At 39.5% G+C, this 25,385-nt stretch overlaps 1 protein-coding gene across 18 annotated transcripts in view, besides 1 other annotated feature; it reads left to right on the top strand.

Annotated features, from left to right (window-relative positions):
* NVL (nuclear VCP like) overlaps positions 1–25,385 on the top strand; it is a 102,828-nt gene that overhangs the window by 40,693 nt on the left and 36,750 nt on the right. For 10 of the 18 annotated variants that reach the window (NM_001243146.2, NM_206840.3, XM_017001383.2 and 7 more), the window contains 5 exons: positions 1,487–1,705; positions 3,350–3,454; positions 8,295–8,357; positions 14,022–14,141; positions 21,347–21,446. In NM_001243146.2, the coding sequence (NP_001230075.1) occupies positions 1,487–1,705; positions 3,350–3,454; positions 8,295–8,357; positions 14,022–14,141; positions 21,347–21,446 (607 nt within the window). Of the gene's footprint in view, positions 1–1,486; positions 1,706–3,349; positions 3,455–8,294; positions 8,358–14,021; positions 14,142–15,978; positions 17,836–21,346; positions 21,447–22,256; positions 22,477–25,385 lie in introns of those variants that run through there. The other 8 variants (XM_047421631.1, XM_047421621.1, XM_047421618.1 and 5 more) reach the window with 2 other exon arrangements.
* Positions 14,467–14,667: a silencer, noted in NCBI's record as "peak721 fragment used in MPRA reporter construct". NCBI's record gives its function as "represses an SCP1 promoter by STARR-seq MPRAs in K562 erythroleukemia cells {active_cell/tissue: K562}" and the evidence as "EXISTENCE:reporter gene assay evidence [ECO:0000049][PMID:32103011]".

Here is a 25,385-nt window from a genome sequence, read left to right as displayed (position 1 = left end):
TTTCTCTAAAGGCACCTTAAATTGTCCTTTTAATGTTCTTTGTGTTATCTTACATTGAAGCAAGGGTCAATACAATTGAGGTTCATTACTTTCTGTTTTATTGGCATTTAATCTATAGAATACTTATCATTTATACCCACGATGTTTATCATTTCAAAAATATGAGTTGTTTTATGTTTAGTTTATTTTAATAAATTCATTTTACAATAATGATTATGAAATTCTGGAATGGGGTTGGCAGACTGTGGCCTACCCACCCACCACGTGTTTTTGTAAATTAAAGTTATATTGGAACACAGCCATGTTCATTTGTATACATGTTGTCTGTTTCTGCTTTCGTTCTTCATGGCAGAATTCACACAGGAGTCTGCAGCAGAGACCGTGGCCCACAAAGCCTACGGTGTTTACAGTCTAAACCTTTACAGAAAAAGGTTGTCAACCCCTATTTCAGCATTGGCATTTAATTATATCTCCTGGTTAACTTTTGGTTAGGTAGATTACAGTGGTCTGTTGACACAACTATATCCATGTCGGTAGCTGCAAACAGCTCTGGAGGACAGTCATGTGAATAATAGGGGACAGTTATCAGTCCAAGATCGGTATTAAATTTTTTAGTTTTATGAGTCATGAAAATTCAATATATATATCATTTCATATAGCATTTTATAGCTTGCACAGATGGCTTCTGTATGTTATATAATTTGATCCCTGTAACCTTATATAAATGTCATTTTCCCCATTTTATAATCAAAGGCACTAAGCTTAAGTGGTTGTGATTTCCTCAAGCCCATACAGCCTCTACTTTATAGAGCAGGGGCTTCAATCCAGATCTTTTGTTCTCAGATAATTTGTTTTTTTCTTAGACATTTGAAACTGCAATTAATTCTGTAAAAAATAACAAACTCATTCCTTTTATAATATTGCATATAAATTAATATTTTATAAATTGAATTAATTGGTTACCTGTTTTTTAGACTTATCCTTTCATCTTCTCCACAAAGCAAGAAATCTGCCTTTTAAGTTTAAGATTTGATAGTAATAGGAAAATTGCCTTCCCTCTACTTAGTTGATAAACCATCAAGGAACCATATTAATGAATTATACTACCTCCAGCATAAGTGTTTTAATTTCATCAGGATTCAACTGTTTCTTGAATATTTATAAATGAAACATGGGAAATATTATGGTTGCTGAAATGAATATTTGCCAACGCTTATATTTGCTATACCTAGCCCTAGTATATAGAAGTCATTCTTATATGTTTAATTATAATTATAATTGGTATATCTTTACTTGACCAGAGCATATGATCCTTAAGAATAAAATGAACTTGTCTCATGTCAGAGAGAAAATTATTAAAATACATAGACGTTCAGGATAGCTTACGGAAATATTACAGTAATAATTTTTACAAGTAGAAAATGTAACTTTTCAATAGCTGTTGTGGTGTTTCTTTATTTTTTTCCCCTCTATTGTTCCCTTCAAGGATGAATTACAAAGGCTGCTGGGGTTGCTAAGAGACCAAGATCCCCTCTCAGAGGAGCAGATGCAAGGACTGTGCATTGAACTGAATGATTTCATTGTTGCTCTATCCTCAGTCCAACCCTCTGCCAAAAGGGAAGGCTTTGTCACTGTCCCTAATGTGACATGGGCAGATATTGGTGCCCTGGAAGACATTAGAGAGGAGCTCACCATGGCAATATTGGTAGGTATATCAGCTGCCAAATATTATTGGCATGTCATGGATTAAAGACCAGAGATAAAGCTCCATGCATGTGTACTAGGTTCTGTGGCTAAACTGACTTGACTATAATCACTGTGTCTAACTTGACTTGAATGTAGCACTTCTTTCAAGCCCCCAACAATGGTTTTTCTTTTGTTTGAGATCCGATTTGTTTATTTTTTTAAATTGATGTATCATAGTTGTAAATATTTTTGGGATACATGTGATATTTTGATACATATATTAAATGTGTATTGATGAAGTCAGGGTAATTGGGATATTCATCACCTCTAATGTTTATGTTTTCTTTGTGTTGGGAACATTATACTTTTTTTCTTCTAGCTGTTTTGAAATATACTTTTTTCTTCTAGCTGTTTTGAAATATAATTTCCCTACCGTGCTATCAAATACCAGAACTTATTACTCCTATCTAACTATTTTTTTTACCCGTTAACCAACTTCTCTTCATTATACTCATCTCCACCTTCCCTTCCCAGCCTCTGGTAACCATCAATTTGCTCTCTGTCTCCATGAGATCCACTTTATTAGCTCCCACTATGAGTGAGAATGTGCAATATTTGCCTTTCTGTGCCTAGTTTATTTCACTAACATAATGACCTCTAGTTCCATCCATGTTGCTGCAAATGACAGGATTTCATTCATTTTTGTGGCTGAATAATATTCCATTGAGACCTATTTTATGCTGATCCTTTTGGTTGTGCTTCATTTCTGTAGCAGTGAGTTTAAACCACAAAAAATTATAGGTTTCAGTTAAGACCAAATTGTTTGACAAAGACTTTCTGAACTTGATCTTATGGATCAAGGCAATTTTAATGCACATAAAACTTTGGATTAATTTTTATTTACTTTACTTTTCTACTCATCATTCCATGGTTCATTAATGGAAATATGATCGATTTAGAGGTATGTACTACTGAAAGAGAAAATACACTGGGATTATAGTCAACAGATATCTCTGGCTTTTAACTATGCAAAAGTTACTGCTGCATCTGATTTCTTAGAGGAGACCATTGTCTAAACATTTTATAACCTAGAAATTTAAATGGTTTTCTAAAACATATTTGTTGAAATATTATATCATTATGTCTAAAATGTTCTTAGACATTATGTTCAAGTATAAATTCCTCAAGTGCAGGGACTTTTCTCTTTATCACCACAGAGCATGAACAGGTAAACCAGGTACTGTTCGTATCTTCAGGCCTCACAGTCATGTTGAAAATAAGCCTGAGAAGCTGGGCGCAGTGGCTCATGCCTGTAATCCCAGCACTTTGGGAGGCTGAGGCAGGTGGATCACCTGAGGTCAGGAGTTCAAGACCAGCCTGGCCAACATGGTGAAACCCCGACTCTACTAAAAATACAAAAATTAGCCAGACGTGGTGGCATGTGCCTGTAGTCCCAGCTACTCACGAGGCTAAGGTGGGAGGATTGCTTGAACCCAGGAGGCAGAAGTTGCAGTGAGCCAAGATAGCACCACTGCACTCTAGCTGGGTGACAGAGGGAGACTCAAAAAAAAAAAAAAACCATAAAATATGTATCTGGAAATAATTTGAACCTGCAGTATAAAATGGACATGTAATGGATCGCCGTTTGTATCATTATTTCCAGGCACCAGTACGCAACCCAGACCAGTTCAAAGCTCTTGGATTGGTGACTCCAGCTGGGGTCCTCCTTGCTGGTCCTCCTGGCTGTGGGAAGACTCTGCTGGCGAAGGTATCATATAAGTTCAATTGCATGTAATTTATTTCTTAGTATCAGATAGGATAATATGAACTTAACTTTAAATATTACAGTGAGGTAAGTCTTATGCATAATTTTTATCAGAAGTTTATTTTAGCAAAACTGACAACTTTCTTCATTAAAGTTTCCTACTTTTTTAAATTACAAAGGCACATGATTGAAAAATGTTTATATCAACCATAATCCTATCAATTTTAACATGCAATTATTATATTTTCTGTGTATTACATTTTAGCTTTTTAGTGAGTATTATTCCATAGTTTTAGTTTTTACTTGACTTAGTTTCCTGCTTTGGTATTGTTATTATTTATAACTTAAGTATTTTCCTCTATATTTCTTGTAATTATTTTCTAAAATTGTTTTTTCATAATAGAAAATAAAAATAAGCAAAAAGGAAAAGCATTGTGTGTAATTCTCTCACTGCCACCTACTACTATTATTTCATTTCATTGTCAATCCTTCAGATATTTTTCTATGCATACATATCAAAGTAATATCTAACTTTTAAGTTTTTACATGCATGTTTACAAATATAAGCTTTTTTTATTTTATTTTATTATTTTTGAGACGGAGTCTCATTCTGTCGCCCAGGCTGGAGTACAGTGGCATGATCTTGGCTCACTGCAACTTCCGCCTCCCGAGTTCAATCAATTCTCTTGCCTCAGCCTCCCGAGTAGCTGGGGTTACAGGCATACGCCACCACGCCCGGCTAATTTTTGTATTTTTAGTAGAGATGGGGTTTCACCATGTTGGTTAGGCTGGTCTCGAACTCCTGACCTCATGATCCGCCCATCTCGGCCTCCCAAAGTGCTGGGATTACAGGCGTGAGCCACCACCCCCAGCCACAAATATAAGCTTTTTTAAACATGTTTTTCTCACTTAGCTGTATTTCCTGAACATCTTCACGTCAGTATATATTGATACACATCAATATTTTTAATGCCTGCATAATATTCTACCATAAAGATAGATGTTCTATAATTTATGGAAATGATCCCATATTGAAACAACACTACTTTAAATGGCCTTGCACTTATATTTTTGTACCTTGACTAATAATTATATTAGAATGCATTTCTAAATAATTTTCCAGTCAAAGGAATGTATGTTTTTAAGGCTTTTGAGCCATATTATTAAAGTGCCTTCCTAAAGGTTTTCACCAGTTTTTACCTTTTTTATCAATAGGGTATGAGAATCAATTTTCCCACACCTTAAACTAGTGATGGCCATGAACATTGCTCTTAATAGTGGACAATTTAATAGGTAAAAATGCTGTCTTACAGTTTAATTTGCATTTTAAAAATTACTAGTGTTTTTTTGGCCAGGCATGGTAGCTCATGCCTGTAACCCCAGCACTTTGGGAGGCCGAGGCGGGTGGATCACTTGAGGCCATGATTTCAAGACCAGCTTGGGCAACATGGTAAAACCCTGTCTCTACTAAAGTAAATTACAAAAATTAGCCAGATGTAGTGGTGCATGCCTGTAATCCCAGCTACTCGGGAGGCTGAGGCACAAGAATCACTTGACCCAAAGAGGCAGAGGCTGCAGTAAGCCAAGATCACACCACTGCATGCCAGCTTAGGCAACAGAGTAAGACTCTGTCTCAAAAAAAAAAACTAGTTTTTTTTATTTAAGTATGTTTATTGGCTATATTTCTTTGTGAATTGTCTATTCATATCCTTTCCTATTTTTCTAATGGCATACATGTGATTTTCTTTCTTATTTATATCACTTCATATATTAAGATTTGTTATTTATAAATGTTGATTAGTTTATCTTGACTGTAACCATGTTTGACACCTTGAGCTTTTTTGGTTTGATTTTTATGTGGGCAAATTTCTGTCTTTTTGTGCTTTTTTCCCCATTGGAATTATGCTTATTAGAACTGTCTTCCCTATGTGTAAAGTATGTTATCCATCATTTTTAGTGTCTGTATAATATTACATCCATAACTAACCCTTATCAACTTTTAAAAATATTTTGAATTGTAAGAAATTGAAATAATAACATTTTTAATAAGTACAACAGCAACCAAATTATAGCTCCTCAGTAAATATCAAATATCCATAGTGCTGTGTGTAAAACTTACTTTTATTTATACTACTAATTTTCCTTGCTTAATGCTTTCAGTACTCTTAAAAGGCATTGCTTTCAGAGAGCTGGGTATGGAGGTAGAAGAGAACAACACAGTCATTGATCTACAATTTTTTCACAATAGTTTTGGAAAAATATAGCCAGAAAGAAGGTTCTGCATGCTGGTGTGTGAATTCTCCAGGTCAATGCACTTCCCTTTCATGTGTGTCCTATAGTGTTTATTATTTAATTAGTTACATCTGCCTTTGAGTAGTCCTGTTCACAGCAGAGAGGAGGTAGCTTGGATAACTTGAAAAGCATATATAGTACTAAAACATCATAGATCTACATTTCTCCTCTTCTTCTCCCCACTACTGAACTGCCAACAATTGAGGACCACTCTGTTTAGTCAGATTTCTTTCTTTCTTTCTTTCTTTTTTTGAGATGGAGTCTTGCTGTCACCCAGGCTGGAGTGCAGTGGCACAACCTTGGCTCACTGCAAGCTCCGCCTCCTGGGTTCACGCCATTCTCCTGCCTCAGCCTCCTGAGTAGCTGGGACTACAGGTGCCTGCCACCATGCCCAGCTAATTTTTTGTATTTTTAGTAGAGACGGGGTTTTGCCGCATTAGCCAGGATGGTCTCGATCTCCTGACCTCGTGATCCACCCGTGTCAGCCTCCCAAAGTGCTGGGATTACAGGCATGAGCCACCGTGCCCGGCCTTAGTCAGATTTCTTACATCTGACCTTTGGGAGCAGGGACTCTTACCTAGGACTCCATGAATGGACTTCACAGCTTCACTGAATCTATGAGCCCAGGCAATGTATTGTGTATATGTATTGTTTCTGGGGAAGAGTGTTCACAACACCTTTCATCAGGTTCTCCAAGGGGTGCAAGACTATGTGCCCAAGAATCCAGAAATAGAAAATGTCCTTGAATGGCAGAGGCAAAGTGTGGCCTAGGATAAACTCATGGAACAAATTATAGGTCAGAACCTAGAAACCTAGAGATACATATAAAATTAGGTATTTGGCTGATCTTGATTGTTTTGTTTACTCAGGATAACAAAATAATACAATTTTTCTTGGCACCTGCACATACTAAGTATGTAACTAGCATAAAGTCAGGGCATGCAGTTACTGGAGTTGGAGAGGTTTGGAAGAATAAGAATTGGGAGTCCAGTTTTAGAAGTGGTAGATTTGAAATGCTTGTGCAATCCAAGTGGTGTTGCTGAGGAGTAAGTGGAACATAGATGGGGAGCTCAGATACCAGGTTCTAAGAATAGGAAAGAACTCTCTTCCATGATCATTTTGAAGTTCTGATTGATTTTATTCAGGTTTCACCTCTGCATTCAGATTGTAATTCTTAGACTCTTCTACACATACAACTATGAGTTTCTCAACACTGACTCTTCGTAAAGACTGATAACTGATGTTAAATTTTCATTTGTAAATCAATGAATGCTTTCATCCCATGAGGTATTTCTTGAGTACAGAGACTAGCATTTCACTGGAATTCCAAACTAGGGCTATAAATGTATTTATATTTACATAAGCATGTTTATGTAAACAAATGTTCACATAAATATTTTGTGTCATTTCCATTTGATTTATAGCCTTAGTAATTCTTAGAAAGTTGTAGGTTTCAGCCTGGGCAATGTGGCAAAACCCTGCCTCTACCAAAAAAATACAAAAATTAGCTGAGCGTGGTGGCATACTCCTGTAATCCCAGCTCCTCGGAAGGCTGAGGTGAGAGGATTGCCTGAACCTGGGAAGTCAAGACTGCAGTGAGTGGTGATCTCATCACTGCACTGCAGCCTGGGCGACAGTAAGATTCTGTCTCAAAAAAAAAAAAAAATTAAAGTGAAATTTAAAAAAAAAAGTTGTACGTTAACACATTAACGTTTATTTCCTTTGATTTTCCCTTTATCCATTCCCCTTTTCCCATTTGTCTTTTTTCCTTTTTTTTTTTTTTTGAGACAGAGTCTCGCTCTGTCGCCCAGGCTGGAGTGCTATGGCACAATCTTGGCTCACTGCAACCTCTGCCTCCCGGGTGCGAGCAATTCTCCTGTCTCAGCCTCTCGAGTAGCTGAGACTATAGGTACATGCCACCATGCCCGACTAATTTTTGTGTTTTTAGTAGAGATGGGGTTTCACCATATTGGTCAGGCTGGTCTCAAACTCCTGACCTCAGGTGATCCACCCGCCTCGGCCTCCCAAAGTGCTAGGATTACAGGCGAGTCACCGCACCCACCCCTTTTTTCCTTTTAATAAGAAAGAGGTAACTATTAATATAGAAAGGGAGACACAGAATTAAGACCACAAAAAGGGCTAGGCGCAGTAGCTCACGCCTGTAATCCTAGCACTTTGGCAGGCCGAGGCAGGCTGATCACGAGGTCAGGAGATTGAGACCATCCTGGCTAACATGGTGAAACCCCATCTCCACTAAAAATATAAAAAATTAGCCGGGCGTGGTGGCGGGCGCCTGTAGTCCCAGCTACTTGGGAGGCTGAGGCAGGAGAATGGCGTCAACCCGGGAGGCAGAGTTTGCAGTGAGCCGAGATCGCGCCACTGCACTTCATCCTGGGCGACAGAGCAAGACTCCATCTAAATCTCACACACACACACACACACACACACACACGCACACAGAGTCCTTTCATTGTCACACATCATCATCATTATTATTGTTATTATTACTGTGTATTGGTCTTATTTGTGTCTTTTTGTTTCCTCTTGCTAGGCTGTTGCAAATGAGTCCGGACTAAATTTTATATCTGTCAAGGGCCCCGAATTACTAAACATGGTAAGTTATTGAGCAAGAACCATTATTTTAGATTAGAAAAAGTAATGGTCATGCAAATTACGGGGTAAAATGTTCTCAGATCTTTCAGCAATTGTGGTATTTTGGTATTTAAAATCAGTGCTGTAGGAGTGAGGAGGCTGAGCTTTGCTCTGCTCTGCCACTTTGGGTGTATAAATGCTTTCTCAATTAAGTCTGTTAACCTCTGAGCCTGAATTTTCCCACAGCTAGAAGCAGTAGAGCAAAGATTTCAATCTGAGTTGTCTGACTCCTGATCTACTTTTTGTCCAGTTGTCATGTGGCTCAGATGAGTTCCATATTAATAAATAAAAATACTTCTGGAGATAGAAGTCACTCAAGTGCTGTATCTTCCTTCTGCATTTAAGAAACTTATTATCCAAATTTAAGACACTTTGAATTTATTTTTTGTCCCTCTCTGTGAAAAGTAAAAATGCCATTCTATGATATATTCCAACAAAGAAGAAATGAGGGTAACATTTGTTTTAAAAGGTTTTTAAAATTTATCTCTACCTCAATTTTTAAATCTTTCCTATTGTGTATTACTTTCTCCCTAAAATAAGGGAGTTATACTTAAGTATTTCCTATGGGCTTTTTACATACCTCGTAACTTTTCTTGTACTTGGTTTTGATTTTCCAGCAGAGGTGGTATTAGATGTGAACCTTGAAGCAGAGGGCATTGGTGGGAACTGGGATTGGAAAAGAAGGTTATAGCCAGACATTGAAGGGCCTTTATACCAAGCTAAAGTTTGGATGTTAACTTCAGAATATCAGAGAGCTAATAGAGGCTTTAAGTCAAGAGTGTAACATATTTTTAAAGATTGTAATTAATAAAAATTTTATTATAAAATATTTCCACATATAAGGAATTCCAAAGAGTAATATAATATACCCCTATGTATCTATCACCCAGCAAAAAAAAAAAAAACAAAAAAAAACAGCAGTACACTTAAAGCTTCTTGCAAACCCTCCCTCATGATGTTCCCTGTTCTCTTTCCCATGGAACTTACCACAAGGCTGAATTTGGTGCTTATTAGTTCCATGCACTTCTTTCTATATTTACTATGTGTATATTTATCCCTAAACAATATATAGTATTATTTTATATGTTTCAGAAGTATAAGGCCAGGCACAGTGGCCGACACCTGTAATCCCCAGCACTTTGGGAGGCTGAGGCAAGAGGATCACTTGAGGCCAGGCATTTAAGACAGACCAGCATACCAAGACCCTGTCTCTACCAAAAAAATTTTTAATGTAATTTTTTTCAAGTATGAGGTTTATGAGATAATTGGAAATGTTAGTGCTTACTGAATATTTTATATTAAGGAAATACTAATTTTTAAGTGTGATATGACATTTTAAAATCATATTTTAGAGATACTGAAATATTTATAAATAAAATAGGACATCTAGGATTTTCTTCAATAAAACAAGGAAAGTGGCCAGGAGTATAGATGAAGCAAGACTGGTCATTAATCGAGTTGATAATAATTGAAGGTCAGTGATGGGTACATTTGAAGTTTATAACTGTTATATCTCTTTAGTTATAAGTTTGGAACTCTCCTTATAAACTCTCCATGGTATAAAGCAAAACAAACAAAAAACCCCTTTAAATAGTGTGTATTATTTTGCAACTTGGTTTGGTTGAGTTTTTTGGTTTTTGTTTTGTTTTGTTTTTTGAGAGAGAGACAGGGTCTCTGGAAGTAGAGGTTTTGCTGTATTGTCCAGGCTGGTCTCAAACTCCTGGCCTCAGGTGATCCTCCTATCTCAGCCTCCCAAAATGCTAGGATTACATGCGTGAGTGACTACACCTATTCTTGGTTGTTATTTTTGTTCAATATTTATTTATAATACTTATCTCTGTTGATGTATTTTTAGTTTATTAACTTTTTGTGTGGCATTTCATTGAATGAATGTAACCATACTTTAAAAATCAGTTTTTTTTCTGATGAATTTTTAGGTTGAATATTATATATGTATATCTTTGCATATATTTGTGAGATTTTTTTCCCCTTAGGGTATATACCCAGAAGGAGAATTGCTGAATCTTAGAGTATGTGCACTTTCAAAAATATTAGGTATTGGCTGGGCACAGTGGCTCACACCTATAATCCCAGCACTTTGAGAGGTCAAGGCAGGAGGATTGCTTGAGGCCAGTTTGAGACCAGCATGGGCAACATAGTGAGACCCTGTCTCTACAAAAAAACCCCATAAAATTAGCCAGATGCACACCTGTAGTCCCATCTCCTTGGGAGGCTGAGGTGGGAGGATCACGTGAGCCTGAGAGGTCGAGGCTGCAGTGAGCTATGATCACGCCACTGCTCTCCAGCCTAGGCAACAGAGCAACATCCTGTCTCAAAAAAAAAAAATTGGATATTGCTAACTATTTTTATAAAGTGATTGTATCAGATTGTCCCACATTCTCAACAGCAGTGTTGGTGTCTGATATTTTCATTTTTGCCAGTCTGGTAAATATGACATTTTGCCTCATTGTGGTCTGATTTGTTTTTAACGGGTGGGTAGGGGGAAGAGGTCTATGGAAGAGTGCAGAATGTCTCTGAAAGATTAGATGATCTGGGCTGGGTGCGGTGGCTCACGCCTATAATCCCTGCACTTTGGGAGGCCAAGGTGGGCAGATCACTTGAGGTCAAGAATTTAAGACCAGTGTGGCCAATGTGGTGAAACCCCATTGTAAAAATACAAAAAAATTAGCCAGGCATGGTGGTGGGTGTCTGTAATCCCAGCTACTCAGGAAGCTGAGGCAGGAGAATTGTTTGAACTCAGGAGGTGGAGGTTAACGGTGAGCAGAGATCACGCCACTGCACTCCAGCCTGGGCGACACAGTGAGACTCCGCCTCAAAAAAAAAAAAAAAAAAAAAAAGATTAGATGATCTAATGAGGAAGATGGGCATCTTGGGATTGGAAAATGAGTTCACTCTAGGACATTTTAGATTAAACAGCCATCTGGAGATGTCCAGCAGGCAGTAGGAAATGTGAATCTGAAGCTCTGAAGAGATTTGAAAGTCACTATCATCCAAGTGGCATCTAAAACCATGGGAATGGGTTCAGTCTGGTAGGACAAGTTTGTTAAGTAAAAGAACAGTTACATTAAGGGCCTCTGACAGAACCCTGAAAGATTCGAACAATTAAGGGATAAAGAAGCAAGATCTGGTAAAGGAGACCGAAAGTGCTTGGTCATAAGATGGAGAACACCCCGGACCTTCTAAGCCTGAAAACCAAGGGAAGATGAGTTTTTCAACCTTGTCAGTGTGACTAAACAGTATAAAAGATAGTGAGAGTGGGACTTGGGATTTGGTAATTAGAAGGTCATTGGTGGCTTTAGGGAAAATATGTTTAATAATGATGTTTGCAAAAGCCAGAATAAAATGGTTGAAAATTTGATGGCCAATAAAGATTTTGAGATAATAAATGTAGGATCTTTACTTGAAATGTTGCATATGTTTCAAATAAAGGATAAGATGGGCTTTTCATTTATTTACTTATTTTTAATCACTGTTGCCTTGTTAAGATTAAGTAGGTTTTAATATGTCCTCGTTGAAACTTTAGGTTTACCTTTCCCTAAATTAAATTTCCTTTTACCTAGCTACCTTGGTTTACCATTTCCAAAGTCACTTTGCCAACGGTATTGATTGTTCTCTTCTATTCCTATCTGAAACTTTATGTCTCCCAGCCCCCTGATATGCCTTCTTTTACAATAGTACTGAATATTTTGCTTCAGCATTGCAAGTATAGTTTTTGCTGAATTCGATTTTCCAGGAAAGTCTACTATATTTGTACACTGTTTATTATATTTGCACACTGTGTGCTATATTTGTACACTGTGCAGGATGTTATGACAGAAAAATCTGAATAGGACTCCTGCTTTCCAAGGACTTTGTAATATAATATAGTGAGGGTAGAAGAGCTCAAATGTTACAATAATGATAAAATCTGAATATCTGAATAGGACCCCTGCTTTCCAAGGGCTTTGTAATATAATATAGTGAAGGTAGAAGAGCTCAAATATTATAATAATACAAAGTACTTTAAGAGCAAAGAAATACTTTGGGTTTGGTTTCGGTCAAATGATAGTAAAACAGTTTTATGTGTCATAAAACTAGTTTTATGTGTCATAAAACTAGTTTTATGTGTCATAAAACTAGTTTTATGTGTCATAAAACTAGTTTTATGTGTCAAAGTCCAGAAAGTATCAGGATGAGGATAAGCCATATACAATTGCTGATATTTAACCATTTTTGACCTGTAATAGCCAACTGCATATAGTTCAACTTAATCAAATTAACTATTATGGGAAGAATGATTAATGAGGATCTTTTAGAATGCAAGAAGAAATGTTTGGAGGTAGGTTAGAAAGCAGTTCAAGTAAGGGAAGCAGAATGAGCAAAAGTTCAAAGAAAAGTACCAAAAGGATGTGAGGGAAAGAAAGTTCTAGTCAAATGAAAAAATAGCACTTTAATCTCTGTCGTCTGTGGTACTCTTTGCCTTGATTATTTAGTATGGCCATATAGTCATTAAATAGCATAGGTGATATGAAATAGTTGGCACTGTAGGCCGGGGGCAGTGGCTCATGCCTGTAATCCCAGTATTTTGGGAGGCTGAGTCAGGTGGATATTTGAGTTCAGGAGTTCGAGACCAGCCTGGCCAACATGGTGAAACCCCATCTCTACTAAAAATACAAAAATTAGCCAGGTGGTAGTGGTGGTATGCCTGCAATCCTAGCTACTCAGGAGGCTGAGGCAGGAGAATCACTTGAGCCTGGGGGCGTGGAGGTTGCAGTGAGCCGAGATGGCTCCACTGCACTCCTGTCTGGTTGACAGAGAGACCCTGTCTTAAAACAAAAATAATAATAATAATTGGCACTGTAAAGATGTTTTTGGATTCCATCTTATTTGGCAGTTTCATTAAGAAAAAAACTGCTCTTTCTTAATCATCTGGTTTGACATTTTACAAGAAAAATTTCTTATGCCTAAGCTAAAAGTGAAATAATCCTTACATGTAGCTTTTCATATTACTTAGTCCTAATGTTATAGTTGCTTGTGAATTGCTATATTTCTTGACTTATCTTAATGTTTTATATTTTGATTTAGATTTCAACATAGAGTAAGCCATTATGAAACCTGTTAAGTGCCTAGTTGGCTCACTTTGCCTCCTCTGATGCTGTATGACAAAATAGTTATTCCTTTATTTAGTAAGACGACTTGTGTAAAAATAACAATAAAACAGTAATTTGACTTGTGTGTATGTAAAATACTGTTGAATTAATGAAAATTACTGCTGGATATTTTATATGCACGAGGCTTACAAGATTAGTTCTAAAGTGCAATTGAATTTTGGTGATTTTTTTTGAGCTAGAGAAGAACTTACGTTTCACTTAAGTCTTCATTTTATAAATAAGGAAATTTATAGTAGGCTTAAATAGTAGCTAATTTTATTAAGTTGAACTATATGCAGTTGGCTATTACAGGTCAAAAATGGTTAAATATCAGCAATTGTATATGGTTCATTCTGATACTTTCTGGACTTTGACACATAAAACTAGTTTATGTCACATAAAACTGTTTAGTATCATTTGACCCAAACCACAAAGTTGAACTGTTGGTATTTTATTTCCTTTCTGTGTATGTTTAGTATGTTGGTGAGAGTGAACGTGCTGTGCGACAAGTTTTTCAACGAGCCAAGAACTCAGCACCCTGTGTGATATTCTTTGATGAAGTGGATGCTTTATGTCCTCGAAGATCAGACCGAGAGGTAAGTATCATGGACTAGTGGTTTTCAGATTCTTTTAGCACAATAAACCTTTTCTATGTTCCAAGCCAGGTATTTCTTATGAAGTCATCCCTTGGGAGCATTGAGACTCTTAATGAAGACACTTAGTAATTTGAAATCAAATCCTAGAGATAGCAGTTGTATTCTGTATCCGCCTCTGCATCCAGTTTTTTTCCTGTACATTATTTTGGTTGCACAATCTTTAGGTCATCCTAATTCACACAAATGAGTAGGTAAGTATGGAAATGATATTGTTTTAAATAGCTTGCCTTATAATCTTGTAATCCTACAACATTCTTGAGCTAAATGGGTTCTTGAGACAGGAAAACATACAGTTTAAGATATCATGCACTCAAAATAGGGTCAGGTTATTAACTTTTAAGACCCAAAACCTTTTCTCTTAAAGTGAGGACATTAAAATGATGAAGATAAAAAAAGACCCAACACCCATTTTATATCTGGAGAAGATATAAAATTGATCTGCACTGAATACCACTTGTGTCAGCCACACTGAGTCACAGTCCTTAGAGATTTCAGTACGGAGTACCAGAAACAGTTGTTATTAGGAGTGCTATTGTATAACAATTTGAAGCTTAGTGAAGCATAACATAAACAATAAATATATAACCTTTTTGAAGCAGATAGCAACTGCTATTTTTATTTATTTTTATTTTTATTTTTTTCGAGACGGAGTTTTGCTCTTGTCTCCCAGGCTGGAGTGCAATGGTGCATCTCGGCTCACTGCAACTTCCGCCTCCTGGGTTCAAGCGATTCTCCTCCCTCAGCCTCCTGAGTAGCTGGGATTACAGGCACCCGCCACCATGCCTGGCTAATTTTTGTATTTTTAGTAGAGACAGGGTTTCCTCATGTTGGTCAGGCTGGTCTTGAACTCCTGACCTCAGGTGATGTATCCGCCTCAGCCTCCCAAAAAGTGCTGGGATTACATGGGTGAGCCACCATGCCTGGCCACAAGTACATTTCTTGTAAGATGACTGAAGGAATGGTTACATTTCTTTTTGTTGTTGTTGTTGAAACAGAGTCTCACTCTTTCTCCCAGGCTGGAGTGCAGTGGTGTGATCTCGGCTCACTGCAACCTCTGCCACCCGGGTTCAAGCGATTCTCCTGCCTCAGCCTCCCGAGCAGCTGGGATTACAGGCGCCCGCCACCGCACCTGGCTAATTTTTGTAGTTTTTAGTAGAGACAGAGTTTTACCATCATTTCTGAAACCTAGGAAATCTTTTGTGATTTATTTTCAATATGGGTGTGTGTGTGTGTGTGTGTGTGTTGTTAGGTCATAAAACATTATTACATGCCTCATTTTGCTAAAAATCTCCGAAAACATTCAAAAGTCACACACAAAAAAGGATGACTAATATAAATAAATAAATAAATAAATGTGACTCACATTTTAGCGGTTTTGTTTCTTCATCCTAGTCATTGATACCATCATAGAAGATTCTTACTACAGGCTTATCTTTGATAGTGATGTCAGTGACTGAGGCAGAGATCCTTCCCAGGTTCCCCAGTCATATTCCAAAGTCTACTGTGGGCTATGGAGCAAAACACAGCACTTTGTTATCTCCAGCTGGTTAGGGCACAGCATGCTCTGGATTTTATTCCTTTCCTTTTTATTCTCTCTCTTTTGCCATGAATAAACCCTTCATTTGTCCATAGCCCCTTCAATTGGTTTGAAGCTCTCTACTGTCAGCTGGTAAATCTAAATTTGGAGAGGTTCATTGTCAACTGTTGCCCTCAAAGAAGTCTGTAGCCGTATGAAGTACATGTCTAACTTCTGGTTTATCTCTCTCTTTTTTTTAAGGAATAAAGAATGGCTGCTCCATAGGCAGAGCAGCCTTATCTGTTTCTTGGATGTCTACTGCCGTACATTTCTTTTTTTTTTTTTCTTTTGAGAGAGAGTCTTGCTCTGTCACCCAGGCTGGAGTGCAATGGCACTATCTCAGCTCACTGCAACCTCTGCCTCCCAGGTTCAAGCGATTTTCCTGACTCAGCCTCCCGAGTAGCTGAGATTACAGGCGCCTGCTACCATGCCCAGCTAATATTTGTATTTTCAGTAGAGATGGGGTTTCACCATGATGGCCGGGCTGGTCTCGAACTCTTGGTCTCAAGTGATCCACCATCCTCGGCCTCCCAAAGTACTGGGATTAGAGGCGTGAGCCACCACGCCCAGCCTACTGCCATACATTTCTATACTCTGATATATATGGTTTTCTTTTCTTGTGTTTTTGTTGTGTTTTTTTTTGTTTGTTTGTTTTTTTTGTTTTTTTTTGAGACGGAGTCTCGCTCTGTCGCCCAGGCTGGAGTGCAGTGGCGGGATCTCGGCTCACTGCAAGCTCCGCCTCCCGGGTTCACGCCATTCTCCTGCCTCAGCCTCCCAAGTAGCTGGGACTACAGGCGCCCGCCACTACGCCCGGCTAATTTTTTGTATTTTTAGTAGAGACGGGGTTTCACCGTTTTAGTCGGGATGGTCTCGATCTCCTGACCTCGCGATCCGCCCGCCTCGGCCTCCCAAAGTGCTGGGATTACAGGCATGAGCCACCGCGCACGGCCTGTTGTGTTTTGTTTTTTGTTTTGTTTGTTTGTTTTGAGACAGAGTCTTGCTCTGTCACCCAAGCTGGAGTGCAGTGGTGTAATCTCAGCTCACTGCAGCCTCTGCCTCCCAGGTTCAAGCGATTTTCCTGACTCAGCCTCCCAAGTAGCTGGGACTACAGATGTGTGCCACCACACCTGGCTAATTTTGTATTTTTAGTAGAGACGGGGTTTTACCACTTTGGCCAGGCTGGTCTTGAACTCCTGACCTCAGGTGATCCACTCGCCTTGGCCTCCCAAAGTGCTGGCATTACAGATGTGAGCCACTACGCCCAGCTATAGTTTGCTTTTCTAACATTTTCACCTAAAGCAGATTCTAAAAACATTTTATTTTTATTTTTTGTTTCTTTTTATTTGATTTTTTTTTTTTTAAAACAGAGTCTCACTCTCACTCAAGCTGGAGTGCAGTGGCGCGATCTCAGCTCTTCGCAACTTCTGCCTCCTGGGTTCAAGCGATTCTTGTGCCTCAGCCTCCTGAGTAGCTGGGACTACAGGTGTGTGCCACCATGCCCAGCTGATTTTTTGTATTTTTTTTTTTTTAGTAGAGACAGGGTTTCACCATGTTGGCCAGGCTGGTCTCGAACTTCTAACCTCAGGTGATCCACCTGCCTCAGCCTTCCAAAGTGCTAGGATTACAGGCATGAGCCACCATGCCTGGCCTCTAAAAACATTTTAAATTTGAATGCATTCTGTTTTTTTTGAGACAGAGTCTCGTTCTGTTGCCCAGGCTGGAGTGCAGTGGCGCAATCTCGGCTCACTGCAACCTCTGCCTCCTGGGTTCATGCGATTCTCCTGCCTCAGCCTCCCGAGTAGCTGGGATTACAGGCGCACACCACCACGCCTGGCTAATTTTTTGTGTATTTTTAGTAGAGATGGGGTTTCACTATGTTGGCCAGACTGGTCTCGAACTCCTGACCTCGTGATCTGCCCGCCTCGGCCTCCTAAAGTGTTGAGATTACAGGCGTGAGCCACCGCGCCTGGCAAATGTATTCTTTTTTAATTGCACTAGTTATACATGAATACACATTTGTGAAAAATTCAAATAAAACACAAGTATAAAGAGAGTAAATTTCTTTCCATTCTCCTCCGTATTACTCTTTTTGGAGGTTATTACGAGACTGCTAATAGTTGTCATTTAGTATGCATCATTCTAGAATTTTTTCCAGAAACATAAAAAAATTTATATTTTACGCTTCTGTTTTGTTGTTGTTGCTGTTGTTTGAGACAGGGTCTTACCCTGTCTCCCAGGCTGGAGTGCAGTGGTGTGATTGTAGCTCACTGCCTGCTGCCTTGAGCTCCTGGGCTCAAGAAATGATCCCACCTCAGCTGCCTGAGTAGCTAGTAGTACGGGTGTGCACCACCACACCCAGCTAAGTTTTTGTTTTTAGAGGTGGGATCTTGCTGTGTTGCCCAGGCTTGTATTGAACTTCTGGCCTCAAGCGATCCTCCTGCCTCAGCCTCCCAAAGTGCTGGGATTACATCATGCCTGGACCTAGGCTTCTATTTTTTATATAAATGTGGTCATTCTGTCTTGATGACTTTCTCATGTACGTAATAACTTAAAAATAGATATTGTATAATAGTCTGGATACAGCAGAATTTACATAATAATTCTCCTGTTTTGGACATTTAGATTGTTTCCAGTTGTAAATAGAACTCTGCTGAACTTGTTTCACGTATTTTTGTGCACCTGTGATGGGACTATATGAGATAGATTTTTGGAAGTGAAAATCAGGGTTGAAGATTGATATATATTAGATTTTGAAAAATAATGCTGTATCATCCTTCACAAAAACTGTCAGTTACATGTGCCCACCAACAGTGTGTGAAAATAACCATTTCCTATCAACAATGGATTATACCTGTCTTTTTATTTTTTGGCAGTTTTATTGGCAAATCATATTACATTTTAGTATACATGTCCCTGATTACCATGAGGTTGACTATCTCCAGTGATTTGAAATTATTTGATCTTATCTTTCAACCCTTTTGCTATTGCTGTCTTTTTCTTTTTTTACATTAATTGGTACTCTATGATGGAAAGTAGTCTTTTATTTAATTATGTGTTGACACTATTTTTCCCAGTCTTATGACTTATATTTAATTTTATTATATAGAATATTATAGGTTTTGTTTGTTTGTTTGTTTGTTTTCTGTTTTGAGAGTCTCACTCCGTCGCCCAGGCTGGAATGCAATGATGCAATCTTGGCTTACTGCAGCCTCCGCCTCCCGGGTTCAAGCAATTCTTCTGCCTCAGCTTCCCGTGCAGCTGGGATTACAGGTTCCCACCACCATGCCCAGCTAATTTTTTGTATTTTTAGTAGAGATGGGGTTTTGCCATGTTGGCCAGGCTGGTCTTGCACTCCTGACCTCAGGTGATTCACATGTCTCGGCCTCCCAAAGTGCTGGGATTACAGGTGTGAGCCACAATGCCCGGCCAGAATATTATGGCTTTAATGCAGCAAAATCTATCAGTCATTCTTGTATTGACTCTGAGTTTGTCTTGCTTATGTAGAAAAAATGTTTTTTACCCATTACTTCCTTATATTTTTGAGTATGGATTATGATTCTGTTAGTGTTATGTTACCAAGGAGTGATAATAAGGAGCACCAATTTTTTTTTTTCTAGAGAAATCAGTGGGGTAAGCTGGGCGCGGTAGTTCATACCTGTAATCCCAGCAGTTTGGGCAGCCGAGGTGGGCAGATTGCTTGAGTCCAGGAGTTCAAGACCAGCAAGGGCAACATGGTGAAATCCCGGCTCTACAAAAAAAAAAAAAAGAAAGAAAAAGAGAGAAAAATTAGCCAGGTGTGGTGGTGCATACCTGTAGTCCCAGCCACTTGGGAGACTGAGGTAGGAGGATTGCTTGAGCCTAGAAGGCAGAGGTTGCAGTAAGCTGAGATCTCACCACTGTACTTCCAGCCTGGGTGACAGAACAAGACCCCTGTCTCAAAAAAAAAAAGAAAAAAGAAAGAAAGAAATGAGGTAAGCCCATTACCACCTCTGTACATAAAATTTATGGTGAAGAAAAGCAATTAATGACCAAAAACACAGCACCACTTTTCTCATTTCCTTCATTTAAAACTTTTTTGTTGTTTCTGTATCTAAGTGATTTATCCCCCTCCCTGAATTTATACCAACTCCCTGAATGTTTCCTTTCACTTAGATATTGCTGAGGTAGCTGTACTTTGTATTATTTGCTTCAAGGAAAAGAGAAAATACCTCAGTGTCCCAGATACTCTTGTATGTGTTGCACTAAAAAGATCTGGAACACCTGGCTGGTCTAATGTCTAATGGTGGTGGGTTATCAGAACTTATTAACATTAGTGTCGTCCAGGTGCAGTGGCACAAGCCTGTAATCCCAGCACTTTGGGAGGCCAAGGCAGGAGGATTGGTTGAGCTCAGGGGTTCGAGACTAGCCTGGGCAATATAGCAACAGGATCTCTAGAAAAAATATGAAAATTAGCCAGGCGTGGTGACACACACCAGTAATCCCAGCTACTTGGGAGGCTGAGGTCGGAGGACTGCTTGAGCCCAGGAGGGGAAGGCTGCAGTGAGCTGATATCACACCAGTACACTCTAGCCTCGGCTACAGAGTAAAACCCTGTCTCAAAAAAAAAAAAAAAAAAAAAGTTAGTCTCACCAAAGTTGGTATACAACCTCCCACTGTTAAATTTGACTGGCTTTAAAAATAAAATAAAATGAGATCTAGAATACCTGATATACTGGGAAATTTGGGGTTCAAAAGCTTAGTCTAGGGCCGGGCGCAGTGGCTCACTCCTGTAATCCCAGCACTTTGGGAGGCCGAGGTGGGCAGATCACCTGAAGTCAGGAGTTTGAAGACCAGCCTGACCAACGTGGTGAAACCGCATCTCTACTGAAATTACAAAATTAGCCAGGCATCGTGGCATACGCCTGTAATCCCAGCTACTTGGGAGGCAGAGGCAGGAGAATTGCTTGAACCTGGGAGATGGAGGTTGCAGTGAGCCAAGATCACACCATTGTACTCCATTCTGGGCAACAAGAGTGAAACTTCATCTCAAAAAACAAAACAAACAAACAAACAAAAAAGCTTAGTCTTGGTGGGGTGCAGCGGCTCACACCTATAATCCCAGCACTTTGGGAGGCTGAGGCAAGAGGATTGCTTGAGGCCAGGAGGTCACGACCAGCCTGGACAGCATAGCAAGACCCCATCTCTACCAAAGAAACGAAAGCTAGCTGTAGATTTGCCCCAAGGGAAGTGTATTGTGACGGTTAGATCTTTGAGTAACTCGAAAACATCAGACCTTGGGATCCATTCAGCCTGAGATTGAGTCTCATTTCTTCCTTTATCTAGTGATGAGAACTTGGACAAATAATCCCTCTAAGCCTCACTTTCCTCATTTAGACTGGATAATAATAGGATTGCTGGGGAGGTCCACTGATGAGAACACATTTTGCACAGTGTCTGCATATAGTGACGCCTCAGAAAATTATCATTGTTATCTCCTTTGCATGGGGAAATGTATTATTTTTATGTGGAAGAAAATGGGTATTTTTCCTTTGTATTGAGAGCTGATGGAACCAGATTTATGTCTTTTTAGACAGGGGCAAGTGTCCGAGTGGTGAATCAGCTACTTACAGAGATGGATGGTCTGGAAGCACGCCAGCAGGTTTTTATTATGGCAGCCACTAACAGGCCAGGTAAGAAATAAAAATATTGTAACACAGATGAATCTAAAAACTTACAGCATTTCCGTAGAAGAGATTCAGATAATTAAAAATAAAAGTAAAAACTAGTAGCATTTATAAACAATATAATTCACATGCATCCTAGGAAAGGAAGATTAAATTTGGGCAATCCATTTTTGGTTCTGTGAAAGGAAACTTCATAGTTGAAATAAAGGCTTAGAAAGCTTTTGCATAAGCTATAGTAAAAAGTATAGTATTACTGCTTGGATCCCATGAGATTGCTTTTCTGTGTCGGTGCTTAGAAAGCTCTTTTTGGCTGAGAACAGTTGCAGCATACACTTTTTTTTTTTTTTTTTTTTGAGACAGAATCTCGCTCTGTCACCCAGGCTGGCATGCAGTGGCATGACCTTGGCTCACTGCAACCTCTGCCTCCTGAGTTCAAGTGATTCTCCTGCCTCAGCCTCCTGAGTAGCTGGGATTACAGGTGCTGCCACCATGCCCGGCTATTTTTTGTATTTTTAGTAGAGATGGGGTTTCGCCATGTTGGCCAGGCTGGTCTTGAACTCCTGACCTCAGGTGATCTGCCCACCTCGGCCTCCCAAAGTGCTAGGATTACAGACGTGAGCCACTGCACCCGACCAGCATACACTTTTGACCACAAAAGTATTTTCAGAATTTGTGTTTTGTGGTTTCTCTCTAGCTTATAGGAAACAAAAACGAGACTCTTCACTCTAGTAGAAGTTAAAGATAGATTTTTAGGATTTTATGCTGGAGCCATGCCCCTATATCTGCCCTGAATAATTACTGAAAATTGTTTTCAAGGTTAAGCATTCTTTGAGGGATTCAGAAAAGGGCTCAAGACTACAGAAGTGCAGAAGATGGCTCGGAGTTACAACTCTAATCACATGCTTGATCTTTCTGGTGATCAGTCCCCTGCCCGAAGCTATCTGTGGGGCCACTATGCGTCACCACATTAGCTCAACAAAGATATTCCTGGCACTCAGGAAATTGCAAGGATTTTTGAAGATCTATGCCAGGAAAGGTGGGCAAAGACCAGTTATATTCTGTATTATACCATAGTAACCTTGGGACTATATTACTTTATCTTGCTGACCATCATTTTGGCACTTTTTAAATGAAGATGATAATACTTAATTGGCAGGATTGCCACAAAAGTTAAATGATGTTGGTAATGTATCTGCCACAGTGGTGTTAAACAGCACGTAGCTATTTAGTAATTGTTATCATGTTCATAAGCAGTTTGGTAATAGTAGTGGGAACAGTCATTAGGTCATAAAATCACAGAGTCATCCTAGAAGAAAGTCCCTCAGAGTTGAACAGAATCACATCGTCCCTTTCATAAGCAGATACAGATCTTTTCTCACATATTTCAAGAAGATGCTTGTCTTAGTCTGTTTTGTTTTGCTGTAACAGAATACCTGAAACTGGGTAATTTGTGTTAAAAAGAAAAGAGATTCAGTTCTTCTAGTTCAGGAAGCTGGGAAGGTCAAGGCTGAGTGGCCTGCATCTGTCAAGGGCCTTCTTGCTGCATCACCCCAAGGCGAAAGGGTAGAAGAGCACAAGAGCATGCATGAGAGAGCAAAAGGAAAGTGGCCTGGACAGGAAGAAACCATGGTCCCATGAGTAAAGGTGGACAAATAAAGTTTAATTAATTTTACCCTATCTTTGGACATTTATCTCAACTGCCTGAGCTAAACAACTGTTTTCTTCAGCCTACCAAAAAGCATTTTGTATAGCAAAAGATTAGTTTCACTGGAGGAAGTCTGGAGAAGAAAGAAGCAGAGAGAGGGGGGATCCTGGGGAGTAGGAAATGAGGGCCCTGTTTCTCTCAAAAAAGCCTCATTGAAGAAATACATTGATCCAGTTTTTTCCAGTATATGATCATCCTTTTTAAAGTGAGGAGCATAAATTAGTAAGGATGGGCTTAATATCTGTTAGTGGTGAGACAGAAAATGCTAAAATTATTATCTGTTTAATTGTTTGTACTATCTGGTTTTGATGTATGACTTGTCATATGTGCAGTATATTAATAACATCATACAGAAACATAGTTAACAAATGAGTAGACATTAAAAAAGAAAGAAAGTGGCCAAGCTGGGCATGGTGGCTTATGCCTGTAATCCTAGCACTTTACGAGGTTGAGACAGGAGGATCGCTTGAGCTTGGGAGTTTAAGACCAGCCTGGGCAACATAGTGAGACCTTGTCTCTATTATTTAAAAAATAGTGAGAGTGGCGAAACATATCCTTTTATCAAGAGTCCACTCCTGTAATAACTTACCCACTCTCTTGAAACCAGCATCATTCATGAGGGCAGAGCCCTCATGACCTAATCACCTTTTAAAGGTCCCACATCTCAACACTGTTTTATTGGGGATTAAGTTTCCAACACGTGAAATTTGGGGAATACGTTCAAACCACAGCATCAATCTTTCGTTTCCTGTAATAACCTATTCTATCGTTAACAGCCCGCACCATATTTTAAGTTTGTTTATTTTATTTTATTATTTATTTATTTATTTTGAGACAGAGTCTTGGTCTACTGCCCAGGCTGGAGTGCAGTGGTGTGATCTCAGCTCCTTGCAACCTCTGCCTCCTGGGTTCAAAGATTTCTTCTCCCTCAGCCTCCCAAGTAGCTGGGACTACAGGCACGTGCCACTACGCCTAGCTAATTTTTGTATTTTTAGTAGAGACAGGGTTTCACCATGCTGGCCAGCCTGGTCTCGGCTCCTGACCTCAGAGGATCTGCCTTCCTCGGCCTCCCAAAGTGCTGGGATTACAGGCATGAGCCACTGCGCCTGGCCTGTTTATTTTAAAACCTGTGTTAAGAATGGCAGAAATGGCAGATGAATCATAATGTGGTACCGGTGTTTTGTTTTTTCCCTATGTGTGTATATTGTCTTCCCCTAAAACTCTTCCATCCTTTTTTCCCCTGTAACAAATCTGTTGCATTAACGACCTACATTTAAAAATAAATGTTCTGGCCGGGCACGGTGGCTCACACCTGTAATCCCAACACTTTGGGAGGCCGAGGCCGGCGGATCACAAGGTTAGAAGATCGAGACCATCAGCTAACATGGTGAAACCCCGTCTCTACTAAAAATTAAAAAAGATTAGCCGGGCATGGTGGCACACACCTGTAGTCCCAGCTACTTGCGAGGCTGAGGCTGAGGCAGGAGAATCACTTGAACCCGGGAAGCGGAGGTTGCAGTGAGCCGAGATTGCACCACTGCACTCCAGCCTGAGTGACAAAGCGAGACTCTGTCTCAAAAAATAATAATAATAATAAACGTTCTAGATCTTCTTCACTTGTTTTCATGCTTATTTGGCAGTTCTGCTCCATTGTATACTATCACGTGACATTGTTTTGATTGCTTATAACTTCTCTGCTTAGCTTTAAGAATTCCCTTCTTGCTTGATGTTCTGGTTAGCCGTTGCTGCATAACAAACTACTGTAAAGCTTAGTGCTTTAAAATCACCATTTGTGGCTGGATGCAGTGACTCACACCTGTAATCCCAGCACTGTGGGAAGCCAAGGATCACTTGAGGTAAAGAGTTCAAGACCAGCCTGCTCAACATGGTGAAGCTCCATCTCTACTAATAATACAAAAATTAATTGGGCGTGGTGGTGGGCGCCTGCAATCCCGGCTACTCAGGAGGCTGAGGCAGGAAGGAGAATCACTTGAACCCAGGAGGCGGAGGTTGCAGTGAGCCCAGATAGCACCACTGCATTCCAGCCTGGGCGACAGAGTGAGACTCCATCTCACAAAAAAAAAAAAAAATCACCATTTTTATTTGGCTCACAATTTTTAGGTCAGGAATTTGGGATGGGCTTGTCTGGGTGGTTCATCTTGGATCCACGTACTATCAGCTGGAGTGGCTGGACCAGAGAATCCATTTCCACAGTGGCCTCTTTACTCACAATGTCTTCA

This window comes from Homo sapiens, chromosome 1 (assembly GCF_000001405.40).
Source record: "Homo sapiens chromosome 1, GRCh38.p14 Primary Assembly".
Taxonomy (NCBI): domain Eukaryota; kingdom Metazoa; phylum Chordata; class Mammalia; order Primates; family Hominidae; genus Homo; species Homo sapiens.
The sequence above is the reverse complement of the archived record's forward strand: the minus strand, read 5'-3'. Positions and strand labels throughout refer to the sequence as shown.